At 40.0% G+C, this 13,326-nt stretch overlaps 1 long non-coding RNA gene across 1 annotated transcript in view; it reads right to left on the bottom strand.

Annotated features, from left to right (window-relative positions):
* Window positions 1–399: 399 nt before the first annotated feature.
* The window catches only part of LINC00840 (long intergenic non-protein coding RNA 840), a 36,023-nt gene continuing 23,096 nt past the window's right edge, over window positions 400–13,326 (bottom strand). The window contains exon 5 of the long non-coding RNA NR_038268.1: window positions 400–968. This is a non-coding gene — a long non-coding RNA (long intergenic non-protein coding RNA 840). The remainder of the gene's footprint in view (window positions 969–13,326) is intronic.

The following is a 13,326-nucleotide window of genomic DNA, read 5'->3' as shown; positions in this document are numbered from 1 at the left end:
TCCCTCTGCTCATGCTTCTTTTACATTTTGAATGTAATAATATTGAGGGAAAAAACAAACTTAGTTTCTCCTATACTCTCACAAAGCAGAGTACTTCTGACACCAGGTTCTGTAGGGGATTTTTCCAGCACACCAGGCAAGTAACCAGTCTTGCAGCAGTGGACACCAGCTGTGAGTCCTCCAATTCGATTCCGACACTCTCTCCCTAGTGGTAGCATCAGATCCCACAGGGTGAGGGCTGAGACCCACAAGATTGCCCCCTACTTCTGATGGTGATTAAAAGCCCCAGGTTATTTTACCTGTGCTTCTGACAGACTGGCTATAAATTGGATTTCCCATGATTCCCTCCTCAGTTTAGTTAATTTGCTAGGATGGCTCACAGAACTCAGGGACACACTTATGCTTAGCAGTTTATTACAAAGATATTTTAAAGGATACAGATGAAGAGATGCATAGGGCAAGGCATGTGGGAAGGGATGAGATGCTTCCATGACTGCCCCAGGCACCACCCTCCAGGAACCTCCATGTGCTCAGATATCCAGAAGCTCTCCAGACCCAGTCCTTTGGGATTTTTATGGAAGCTTCATTACATAGGCATGACTGATTACATCACTGGCCATTGTTGATGGACTTAACCTTCTGCCCGTCTCTCCTCCCCAAAGGTCAGGGGTGTGGGGTATGGCTGAAAGTCCCAACACTCTAATTATGCTTTGACATTTCTGGTGATTGGCTCCATCCTGAAGACATCAGTCAATCATTTGCACATGAAAAGCATGCCTTTGGATATTCCAAGGGTTTTAGGTATGCCAGGACACAGGATGAAGACCCATATATATATTTCACAATATCACAGTTGTCCTTAGGCTAGTTCCCTCTCTTCTGAATCATTTTTTTCTGTTGATTTATTTCAAATGCATGGATTCCATTACCATCTCTTAAGAAAATGATTCTCTGATACTTCAATAAAGCTGGAGAATGAAAACAAAAAGGAAGAAAATGATTCTCCAGTTAGATGTTCAACATAGATGTCTCTCCAAAACTCAGACTCACTCACCATTTTCATTCACATCTAACAAACCCATATCAGAAAACAGAATGATCTTCCCATATAAACTACTTCTCTATCTCTATCAGCATCTAACAAGCCCTACAAGTCAGCAACAGGATCTCACCTTTGACTCTCTCTCACCTCCCCCTCTATCCCCATACCTTCCAGTCACTTACTTCTTAAATATCTTTGGAAACTAATCTTCTGTTCATACCCACTACCATTTCTGTAATCTAGATCATTATCATCTACCTGCCTGACTGCAAGAAACTTCTAGTTAGTCTCCTTGCCTTCATACATGGCTGTGATGGTTAATATTGGGTGTCAATTTGATTGGATTGAAGAATGCAAAGCATTGTTCCCTGTGGCAGCTGGGTAGGGTGGTGGTGTCTGTGAGGGTGTTGTCAAAGGAGATTAACATTTGAGTCAGTGGACTAGGAGAGGCAGACCCACCCTCAATCTGGGTGGGCACCATCTAATCAGCTGCCAACGTGGCTAGAATAAAGCAGGGAGAAGAAGGTGGAAGAAACTGACTTGCTGAGTCTTCTAGCCTCCATCTTTCTCCTGTGCTGGATGCTTTCTGCCCTCGAACATCAGACTCCAAGTTCTTCAGCCTTTGGATTCTTTGACTTACATCAGTGATTTGCCAGGAGCTCTCAGGCCTTTGGCCACAGGCTGAAGGCTGCACTGTTGGCTTCCCGACTTTTGAGGACTGGCTTCCTTGCTCCTCAGCTTAGAGATGGCCATTGTGGGACTTCATCTTGTGATCCTGTGAGTCAATTCTCCTAATAAACTACCCTTCATATATACATCTAGCCTATTAGTTGTGTCCCCATAGAGAACCCTAACTAATGCAATGCCTGTATTAAATTTAAGTACTTCTTCAGGCTCATGCCAAGCCTTTTCTCATGTTTATCAACATATATTGACATGTGTCTTTAGGATTGACTCCTTATCCCTGAACTCCCCCAAAACATGCCCTGCCATGAGCTTATTTTCAATAAACTTTTGTTGAATTAATAGATGACCATTAAATAAATTAAAGAATTACTCCATCAATGAATAAGTCAATCAGTGTTGTCTACTTTAAACTCCTTGAGACTGAATCAATTTCTATATTTTGTTTACTTCCCATCATAAAAGCAAGCATTAACTTGAAATTATAATCATTATTAAATTGATCAACTGAGTGCATGCATCTCAGGTCTGGATAATAATCCTAAAGTCTTTAGACATATTTTTGAGCCCACCAGACCAGAGGTTTCTATGCTCAAATTTGTTGGACTTCAAAAATGCAGATATCCCATATATCTTCATCTTCATTTTGTTTCCGTAACTTGAGTTTTGTAGCCTACAAAAAGGGTGAAAGTAGAGCCTGAGCATCCTGAGACAATGAGTTTAGAGGCCTGGATTCTGGGCATGTTGGCTGAGCTGTGTCATAGACAAGATGTGAGGACATGTCCAACAAGTGTGGCCAGCAGCAAGGGCATGGTTACAACAGTCTTTAGGCTCTTGAGTCTAGAGGCCTAGATGTTAAGAGGCAAGAGTGAAGGGCTAGAGCAGAAATGAGAGGACCTTGGAGGAGAGGCTGAGAATGTCAAGTGTAGAGAGGTCAGGGGGCCTTAGGTCTGGGGCTCCGCCCTAAGATGTCTGTGCTTCAATCTCAGGTTTTCATGGTCCTGAGAGTGAGAATGTGATTGGCTGAGCTTGGCTCAGGCTCCTCTCCCTAGAACCAATCAGCCACGGCCTGGAGTGGAGTGGCTGAGCACCACTCACACCCTGCAGGAGTTGTGAGCTGGATAATGCCCCACTTTCTGTATTCTGCACATCCCAGAAGTCTTAAGTTTTTATTGAAGCTTGCTTAGCCAATTCAAGCCCAATTTCAGTGATGCAAATCTCACATCTATTACACGCAGATAATGTGTGGGTCCCTTTTCTGTTGATGCATTTAGTCTTCAGAAACACAGGATCATGGGCCAGATCAAGTAGCAAATGGGTATTAACACTGGAGGGTCAACCAAGCTCTGAGAACAGTTACAAGAAAACAGGATGAAGGCAAAGACTTTGCTCCAAAATGAGCAGCTGAAAGGAAGGGGTTGCTGTCTGCAGTCCAGCACAGAAAAGGGCTGAGCTGGGAGCCTGGGAGTCTGAGCTGTCTCTCACATGTGCAAGTCTGCAGCAGTAAAGAATCCAGAGCATTCTCAGTGACACCAGATCAGCCTGTCGCCATTTAGTTCTGACATGCCCGAGTGTGAATTCTCCATAAAATGTCACAGTGCAGAGGGAATAAGAGTGATAGCAGACCCGGTGACCTCCCCAAATCACATACTGCCCATCTCTGGAAGCTGCTGGGAGGCATGGGCCTCTCATCAGAGCACAGTTTAATGTACCTCATGGGATCTACTCCCACACAGCAGGGTAGAAAATGTTTGGGAAAGGAAGGCTTTTTACTGAGTGCCCAGCACAGATGTATTGCATCAGTGGCAGTGCTGCCTGGGGACTTCCCTCCCCAGTCTGCACTCTGAAGGGCAGACATTGTCTGTCTGGGCCATGGAGTCACCCATCCCAGGAATTTGGTCACAACCACAGACTTCTAATTTGTAATAACTGTCATTGTTCTGTAGCCACGCAACAGAGCCCAAGTGCATATGGCACGATTTCTTTTGGATAAAAAGTGTGGCGTCTCAGAGAAAGTGGGATGTTTTACCAGAAAGCACTGCCCTGCAGTGACCACCTTCACTAACTCTAAGAACCTCAGCTCAGTGTGTGTGTAGTAGTTGGTAATGCTCAAAGTGGCTTTTTTATTGTTGTTAATTTGGATTTTTAATTTTATTTTAGGTTAGATTTGGAGGTACCTGTGCAGTTTTGTTACATGGGTATATTGCATGATACTGAGATTTGGGTTTCTAATGAACCTGCCACCCAAGTGAACATAGTACCCGATAGGTAGTTTTTCAACCCTCCCTGCTTTTGGAATTCCCAGTGTTTATTGCTCCCATCTTTATGTCCATGTGTAGCCAATGTTTAGTTCCCACTTATGAGTGAGAAATGCACTTGGTTTTTGGTTGGTATTTGGTTTTCTGCCTCTGCATTAATTCACTTAGGATAATAACCTCTGGCTGCACCCAGGTTGCTGCAGAAAACATGATCTCTTTCTATTTTATGGCTATAGTATTCCATGGTGTATGTGTACCACATTTTCTTCATCTAATCAACCCTTGATGGGCATCAGGGTTGATTCCATGTCTTGAAGTGGCTTTAGTCTTCTCACCTAACCTTGCACTTCTCTGTGAGACAGGTCAGGCAGGCATTCAGTGGTTTGCCCACTCAGTCAGCAAACATTTAGCTAGCATCTTTGTGGTTGCCTCCCTGGTTCTCACCTGAAGTAGAACCAAGGCTCTAAGTTCCCTCCCTTGCTCAGCATGCTCTATGCCCAAACACAAGGTCTAACACATTCATTTAACTCATATTCTAAGGAGACACTCAAAATGATGGTTAAGTAAAAAAGGTGGAGAATCAAGAAAATTCTACCCACATTATTTTGGTTATCAAATTCAAACAGAACTGACCCTATTAAAAGGTAAATACAGTCATTCCTCAGTGTACACAGTGGGGGAGAATTGGTTCCAGGACCTGCCATATATACAAAAATCAGCACAGACTCAGGTCTCCACCATCAGCCTTGCAGAACCTGATTCTAGGAAAAGTCAGCCCTCCATGAAATCAAGTTTCACATTCTGCAAATATTGTATTTTAAGATCTGCCTTTGGTTGAAAAACAAATCCACATATAAGTGGACCCCTGTAGTTCAAACCTATTTTGTTCAAGGGTCAAAAGTATATTTAAAATCACATCATTCAATATTAAGTGAAATTTGAACTAAAGAAGGAAGAAGAGTAGAAAGAAGAGAAGGAAATAGAGGATGAGTAGGAGAGGAGGAGAAGGAGAAATAGAAAGGAGGGCAGAAAAGCATGCAAGATGCAAAAGATAGTTGAAGTGAACACTGTAGGAGATTGACTCCAAGAAAACAAAGAAGAAAATAATGACAAGAAAGACAAAGGAACATAAATAAAGAAATAAAAGTGACAAGGGTGAAAATAACAGAGATAATCAGAAAACTAGAAATTTAATATAAAAATAATTATATATCTAAAGAAAAGACTAGAAAAAAATTGTAAGACATAAAATTCAACTAGGATCTTTTCTACAGTGAAAGAAAAAATAAATATAATTCAAAGGTTTACTGTACCCTGATAAAAAGAATATAGGATGAAATACACCAAGATTTGTCCAAAAAAGAACCACAGATACTTTTGAGAAAGTAAAAGCCAGTATCCTAAAAGGAAAACTATTAACTGACTATCAGACACTCCTCAGAGTTTTCTTCTTACTGGAATGCAATGAAACAATCGAGATTTGAGGAAAGTAGGACTCAAGAGCTCTATTACTCACAGCTGTCATGTGTCTATGGCAATAGAAATACATTCTAAGATAGGTAAGTCATCCAAATGTGGATGAACCACCAACTAATAACATAGCCTCAAGACGCATGAGGCAAAAACTGTTAATAGAACTGTAAAGAGAAATAGAAAAAGTCAGTTAGAATCTAAGATTTGCAAATCCCTATATCAATAACTAATAGAACAAGTAGAAAGAAAATCAGTAAGGATATAGATTTGAACAAAACTATCAATCAGCTTTAACCTAGTTGACATTGATAGAACACTCTACCTGACAAGCATGCACATCCTTTTCAGGTGTACCTGGAACATTTGCCAAGGCATACTCTTAGCCATAAAGTCTCAGTGAACGTAAAATCATACAAGTCATACAAAGCATGTTCTCTGACCACATGGAACTACTTTAGAAATCAGTAAAATAAAGGTATCTTTTAAAATCCCCAATTATGTAGAAAAAATAAGTAACACACTTCTGAATAACTCAGGGATCAAAGAAGGAATTAAAACAGAAATTAGAAAGTATTTTGAAGTAATTATAAATGAAAATGTAATATATTAAAATTTGTGATATACAGCTAAAGTATAATTTTATAGCACTAAATGCCTATATTAGAAAAGAAAGGTCTCAAATCAATAACCTCAGCTTCCAGTTTAAGAAACTAGTAAAAATATTTCAAAATACATGTTGTATACAATAAATATATACAATTTTTGTCAACGTTTAAAAAATAAATTAGAAAAAATATTTTCTTTTAAAAAATAGTTGTTATTTTTAAAAGAAACTCCAAATAAGCAGAAGACAAGGAATAATAATAAAGATCAGAGTGGATGTCAATAAAACAGAAAAAAGAAAAACAATATAGGAAATTAATGACGTCAAAAGTGGGATCTTTCAGAAGACCAATTAAATTTATAAACCCCCATTCAGACTGATCAGGAAAAAAAAGAGAAGACACAAATTAGTAATATCTGGAAGCAGATCACACATCACAACATATTTCAAGAATCCAAGACAGTGAAGATGGGTCCAAATGCATAAACCCCCCAAAAGTGAGGCTATGTAATGGTGTATCTACACCCAGAATGTGAGAATGGAAAACAATGCATGTTCCCTAGAAAATGATGGTGCACATCTCCATTTGTTGGCCCACAAAGGGGCTCCCAATAGCGTTAAGCTTAAAGAGTAGGTCGAAGAACAGTGGTTTTAGTCCGATGCCAATCAGGAAAAAGTATTGACATCTATTTCAAGAGGCATAAAGAAATACCTGAAAAAATGCTAATCTGAGAGTTAACAATGGCCATCTTAGGCTATTAGGACTCTGGGGATTTTTGGCAATGAGCTTGTTTCATTACACAATAAACAATAAAGCTATTTTTGAAAGTTTTTATTTTCAGATAGAAATTCATGTTATTGAGGGTGTGGGCAGTGTATCGCATACACTGTAGTATTACAACATTTTTGGAATATGATTTGGCAGAAGCTACTAAAAGTTAAAGTATGTATCTGCATTGACCGGGAATCTGATCTTATATAAATAATGGCCTTAGTATGTGAGGACTGCTGCATAAAATTTTGCAACCATGAACTCTAAGGTGCATCATTTTCCCGTTAGTCATCATGGATTTGTATATATTTTATAACAGTTTTCTGGCAGTAAAATGTCTTGGGGGATGCCTTTTTCTAACTGTCACAATTTGGACTAGCAGTGGTGCTCAAATAATGCAGGGATTTTGTTACACAGTTATTTGTGCAGACCAGAAGAAAGAGGAGGAGAAGAGAAAGGAAGGAAAAGGAGAAAAAAGGGGAAAAAAGAAGAAGTAGAGGAAGAGGAAGAAGGAAAAGAGAAAGAAGGAAGGGAAGAGGCTCAGAAAGACCAAGTTACAGAATACTCATATTATGGAATATTATGAAACAATTTTAAAAGAATATACTAGATCTATTTGAATTGACCTACAGTGATGTCCAGGATTTATTTGGGGGGACAGAGGCAAACTGCAAAACAAATGAAATAATAAGTCCTTAATTTTGTTTTGGTGGTTTTTTTTTTTAAGGAAAGAAAACATCCTTTACATTTGCTCATATAAGTTTTATGACAGCTAAGAAAACTGTGGAGGAATACATACCAACAGTTAACTCTCTTCTGTGGGTTTGGGGATGTGGGCATTATGTTTTTTCCTTATTTTTTAAATTGTATGTATTTAAGGAATACAGCATGATGCTTTGATATTACGTATTTATAGTGAAATGGTTACTACAGCCAAGTAGGTTAACATATCCACCAATCATCTCACATAGTTACATTTTCTTTTGTGTGTATGTATGTGACAAGAGCACCTAAAATCTACTCTAGCAAATTTTCAATATACAACAGATTTAACTCTAGTCCATTTGCTGTACATTAGGTCTCTAGACTTACCGTTTCAGATAACCGCAAGTTTATACCCTTTGACCCATATCTCCCCACTTCCCCCACACCTGCTTCCACCTCTGGTAACCACCTTTCTACTCTGTTTCTACGTATTCATGGTTTTTCTTTTTTAGACTCCATATCTAAGTGAGATCATGCCATATTTTTCTTTCTCTGTCTGGCTTATTTCATTTAGCATAATGTCCTCTAGTTTCATCCATATTATCATACATGGCAAGATTTTCTTCTTTTTAAAGGCTGAATAACATTCCATTGTGTATATCTACCACATTTTCTTTATCCAGTTATCCTTTGATTGACACGGCTTGTTTCCATATCTTGACTATTGTGAGTAATGGTGCCATGAACATGGTAGTACAGATATCTTTACAACGTGGTGATTTCATTTGAGTATATACCCAAAAGTGGGATTGCTGGGTCGTATGGAAGTTCTATTTTTATTTTCTTTAGGAACCTCCATACTGTTTTCCATAATGGCTGCACAAATCTACATTCCCACCAACAGGGTACAAGGATTCCCTTCTCTCTGTGCCTTCATCAACACTGGTTATCTCTTGTCATTTTTACAATAGCCATCCTAATAGGTGTAGGATGATACTTCATTGTGGTTTTAATATGCATTTCCCCAATGACTGGTGATGTTGAGTACCTTTTCTTAAACCCGTTGGCCATTTTTTTTGTCTTCTTTGGAGGAATATCTTTTCAGGCCATTTGCCCATTTTTTAATTAGGTTGTTTGTTTTTTTTGCTATTGAGTTGTATGAACTCCATAGGGATTTTAGCCCTTATCTGATATGTGGCTCGCAAATATTTTCTCCCACTCCATTAGTTGCCTTTTCAGTTTGTTAATTGTTTCCTTTGCTGTGCAGAAGACTTTTAGTTTGATGTAGTCTTTACTTGTTTGTTTTTGCTTTTGTTGCCTGTGCTTTTTGGAGTCATATTTTTAAAAAAATCATTGCCAAAGACAATATCAAGGAGCTTTTCCCCTGTGTTTTCTTCCAGGAATTTTATCGTTTCACATCTTACGTTTAGGTCTTTAATCAATTTTGAGTTGATTTTCATGAAGGTGTAAGATAAAGATCCAGTTTCATTCTTTTGCATGTGGACATCCAATTTTCCCAACACCATTTATTGAAGATATTATCTTTTCCCCATCTTGTCTTCTGGGTGGCCTTGTCAAAGATTAGATGACCATGTATACTTGCACTTATTTCTAGACTCTTTGTTCTGTTCCATTGGTATATACAGTATGAGTGTTTTTATACCAATACCATACCGTGTGATTATTACTGCTTTGTAATATAATTTGCAACCCAGAAGTGTAATGCCTCCAACTTTGTTTTTCTTTCTCAAGATAATTTTGGTTATTCAAGGTCTTTTATCATTGCATAAAAATTTAAGAATTTTTTTGATTTCTATAAAAAATGTCATTAAAATTTTTATAGGATTGCATTGAATCTGTATATTGCTTTGAGTAGTATGGACAGGTGGACATGATTTTTTATGTATATATTTCTCTATTGCATAAATTAATACTTTGAATATGTATCACTCTTTTGTCATCTAAAAAAATTTAAAATTTGAAAGCAAATTACAACTACCTAGGCCAACAATCTTTAAAGTTTTCTTCAGAATACTTCAGAACTCTATTGTCCTTTTGTTTTTCCAATATTCAGTTAAACTTACAGTTATTCCTTTATCTATGCATCCACCTGCCCTCTGCCCACACTCCCAGCCATCAACCAAAATTTAGTGTCTCCACCCATCCTGTCTGCAAGGAGCTGGGGACTCAGAACCTCCTGAGGAGTTGCTGGTGATCCCACAGGTAGCAAGGTAGACAGCAGCAAACAGGCACCCCACCACCTGGTGACAGCCTAGGGTATTGGAGCTAATTAGTGCACAGCAAGGCCCTGCTTTCTCCCGTTTGGTAATCAATATACCATTGGAAAAGTGAGTGTGGATTTCAGGTGACAGGGTAAATCTCAGGTGGACTTGTCATTTTGGAAGGATTATTTCTCAGTGACAATTCAAGAGACGAGCTATGTTAGAATCCACTGTGAGTCCAGTCAAATTCTTTCAGGCAGCCAACTGTCTCAGTCTCTCAGACAGTGTGTTTTTGAAGGAGCCCAGGTAGAGGATTTTTTAACACAATCAATGTTTGAGAATCACTTTTCTATAGACTCTGCGAACCTCAGGTGGAATCATATATTCCAAAGTGCTGAATGAAAGCTTCCAAAGTGTCCTCCTGCATCTACAGTCTCTGGGGCAGAAGGAACCAGCCCAGTTAAGGGGAGCTGCTGCCCCATGGGCGAGGCATCAAACCTGCTGTTTGCAGGCTGGCCTGCAAGCACAGAAGCTCAGGAGCCATGGTCACCAAGAGGTTCAGGATGGCTGAGCTTGGAGACCCAGCAGAGGGAGATGAAGGAAAGAATGTAGGCTGGAGACTGCCCATTTTTCCCTCTCCTGGTGAGCGCAGAGAACTGAAGTCACTGTCTTTATGTTTAGAGAGGTGAGTGTATGGAAGTGGGTCAGGGAGAACACACCATGGTGATTTATGCAGTCAGTGCTGCTGCCCTCGGCTCACCAGGGAAAGCTTCAACGTGCTGCTCAGAGAAGCGGGCACTGTTTTCCTGAGACCCTGAACACCCATTTCCCAAATTTCAGGAGATGGACCACAGCCCTGAAGACTCAAGCTTTTGCTCTGGAAAGCTAAGCCATCCAGAGAAGTCTCTGTGTTTGTGTACAAGCAGAAGAGGGAGAATGGTGTTTTCAAGACTGGGAAGATGCCCCGGGCAGGCAATCAAGAGCAGGTGAGCCCTGGGAACCTGTCCCCATCCAAACCAAGGTCTGGGGGTAGCTAGGGCTTTGGAGATTGGGGAGCCAGTCCTTCACAGCTGCATGGAAGCTGGAAATTACCCTCTGCTGCTTCTGAGCCAAGCGGGAAACCCTCCTTCAGGCCAAGAACAATGTGGTATGAGTGGCATTTCTGTGGTCCCTGAGCCACAGAGCCCTAAAGATGAAGGAATCATGAAGCCAAGAGGACATAGCAGTAGCTGTGATGCTGATCACAGGCTGAGGAGCAGCTCTTGCCTCTTTCCAGGGCTCTTGGGCTCCAGGATCCCTGCATGATCTAATTGAAGAGGAAGGAACCCTGAGAACAGCCAGCATCATGTTTCTTCTTAACCCTAGGGAGCAGATGCTCGGAGCCAGGTGTAATTTGATTTGGAAAAATAAAGAAATGTGATGCTTCTTGCATCTGAGTGTGGAGGAGCGACTCGTAACTTACACCCTCCACTTATTAATTCCTCCATCCACGTGTGAGCGATTTTAGATCACCTTAACTCAGCTGCTGAAAGCTGCACCCTCCTTATCGTTCTAACACCCAGCATACTCGAGGCACCTCTTGCAAGAGCTAAAGTTTATATAAATATTATGTCTTACGTTCTTATCACAAATCAGTTTTCCAGTATTTATATTTTAGATTTCTTGCCACCCCTTGCAGGTGGAACCAGGAGGGGTGGGGTAAGTTCTTGGCCAGAAAATTTTTTAAGTGGCTCCCAAGAGGGTGAGGAGCTGAAAAATAAAGAACACAAACCTTGAATATATTTGTAGCAGCCTGAAGCAATTTTGTAAAGTAGGGTGAGAGGGCTTCCCAAAGATACAGGCATGGAAATTATTTCCCTTTTTAATGCAGATAGATGAAAATGAGAAAATGTAATCCTAAGAGGTAATGCACCCAAATGGAAAGGTCTCTTAGCATGCCCACTAGTTATACGTTTCAATTTTTTTCTAGTAAATATAAATATACATATATATAAATTAATAAAAAATTCAAAGGGACCAAAGAAATACAAAATAAAATAAAACAATTGGTCTTCTCCACTCTGCCTTTCAGCCCCTCTGGTTGTCTTCCCCAGAGGAGAACGTTACTGTTTTCTTCTCTATCTTTGCAGAAATATTCTATACACATCTAGTTACCTACATATATAAATATATTTTAATACAAATGAGACCTTACTGCATACACTGCTCTGGGCCTTGTTAGATGGACCATACTTTATTAAACCAGATCCCTCTTAATGGACATCAGAATATGTCCAATAGTCCAATATTACAAGTGATGCTGAAATAAATATCAGTGATGTATTTCCAAGTCTCTTTAGAATACCAAATGCAGAGTTTACCTAAGACATAGGAAATGTTTTTAAGGGCATTGTTCTGGGTTGAGTTGGCTCGTGGAAGAAAATATGAGAGCGGTGTTCAGGATTCCCTCGGGAGCAGAATGCTGGCCCCTCCCCGGCCCAGACCCATGCCCAGCACTGTCGGGGGCCATTCATTTCTCCAGGACTGTCCTGGGAAAGGTCATACTGGGATGCCTTCATTAGTTAGGGTGGAAAGATATTTCATCTTTAAGAGGAATAACTTTCCTCTTCACAAGTGGTCTAGAAAAAAGAAAGTAAAATTGAAGAAGTGGAAAACACATGTCAAGATGAGGCGAAATCCAGAATCACTTCAGACCTGAGCAGGGAATCACAGCTCAACACAGAGAGAGAGAGAGCGGGGACCACCAAGGCGGCTAGAAACCTGAGTGAGTGTTGGAGAGGTGGAGTGAACTTTTGTAACAGGCTCAGCTATAGGAAATTCTTGGGACACTTCCTTTCCCAATAAAACTTCGCATAACAAAGCTGTTTTTGACAGGGTTGAAGTTTTTGTGGAAGGGATACAGAGGCCTTCACTTTGCAGGTGCAAGAGATCCCCAAGATAAGTCCACTGGCGTTGTCGAGGGCATTTCATTTGTGGCCCAAGGTTGACACAGTTCGAGGACAAGGAAGAAAACTAGAGAAAGCCTTGCCCTGGGAACAAGAGATCCTCCAACCAAGCCCCATTCTCCCTCTTTTTCAGGACAAGGTCCGTCAGGACACAATGGGGTTATGGAGAGGGGAGAAACAAAGGAAAAAGCACTTTATAATCATTACCTCATTTAATTCCTGCAGAAGGGGAGGGAGAGAGCATTGTTTCCATTATGTGAACCACATTCCAGAAAAATTGGAGAATAGTAAAAGAGAGAGAAAAAAAAATCAGCCCTAATCCCATAATTGAAGCAAAGTTATTGTTACCATGCTGGCAATTGTTTTCACCCCAACATCTTACTGTATTTGTTATTATTTTTATATAATTATGGTCAAAGTGTTACAACTGTATAGCCTCCTTTCTAATTTTTCATTAACCATTACAGCATATACAATTTCCATGTTGCCAAATTCTCCAAAATCATCACCTTCCTAAACATGAACCATTCATCGCCACAGTGTCAGCTTTACTTGGACAGTTCCTTATGTTGAACATTTGCATTGCTCTTGGGGCTTTATTTCTGCATTATTTTAAATAAT

Source organism: Homo sapiens, chromosome 10, assembly GCF_000001405.40.
Source record: "Homo sapiens chromosome 10, GRCh38.p14 Primary Assembly".
Lineage (NCBI taxonomy): Eukaryota > Metazoa > Chordata > Mammalia > Primates > Hominidae > Homo > Homo sapiens.
This window is presented reverse-complemented; position numbering and strand designations above follow the sequence as displayed.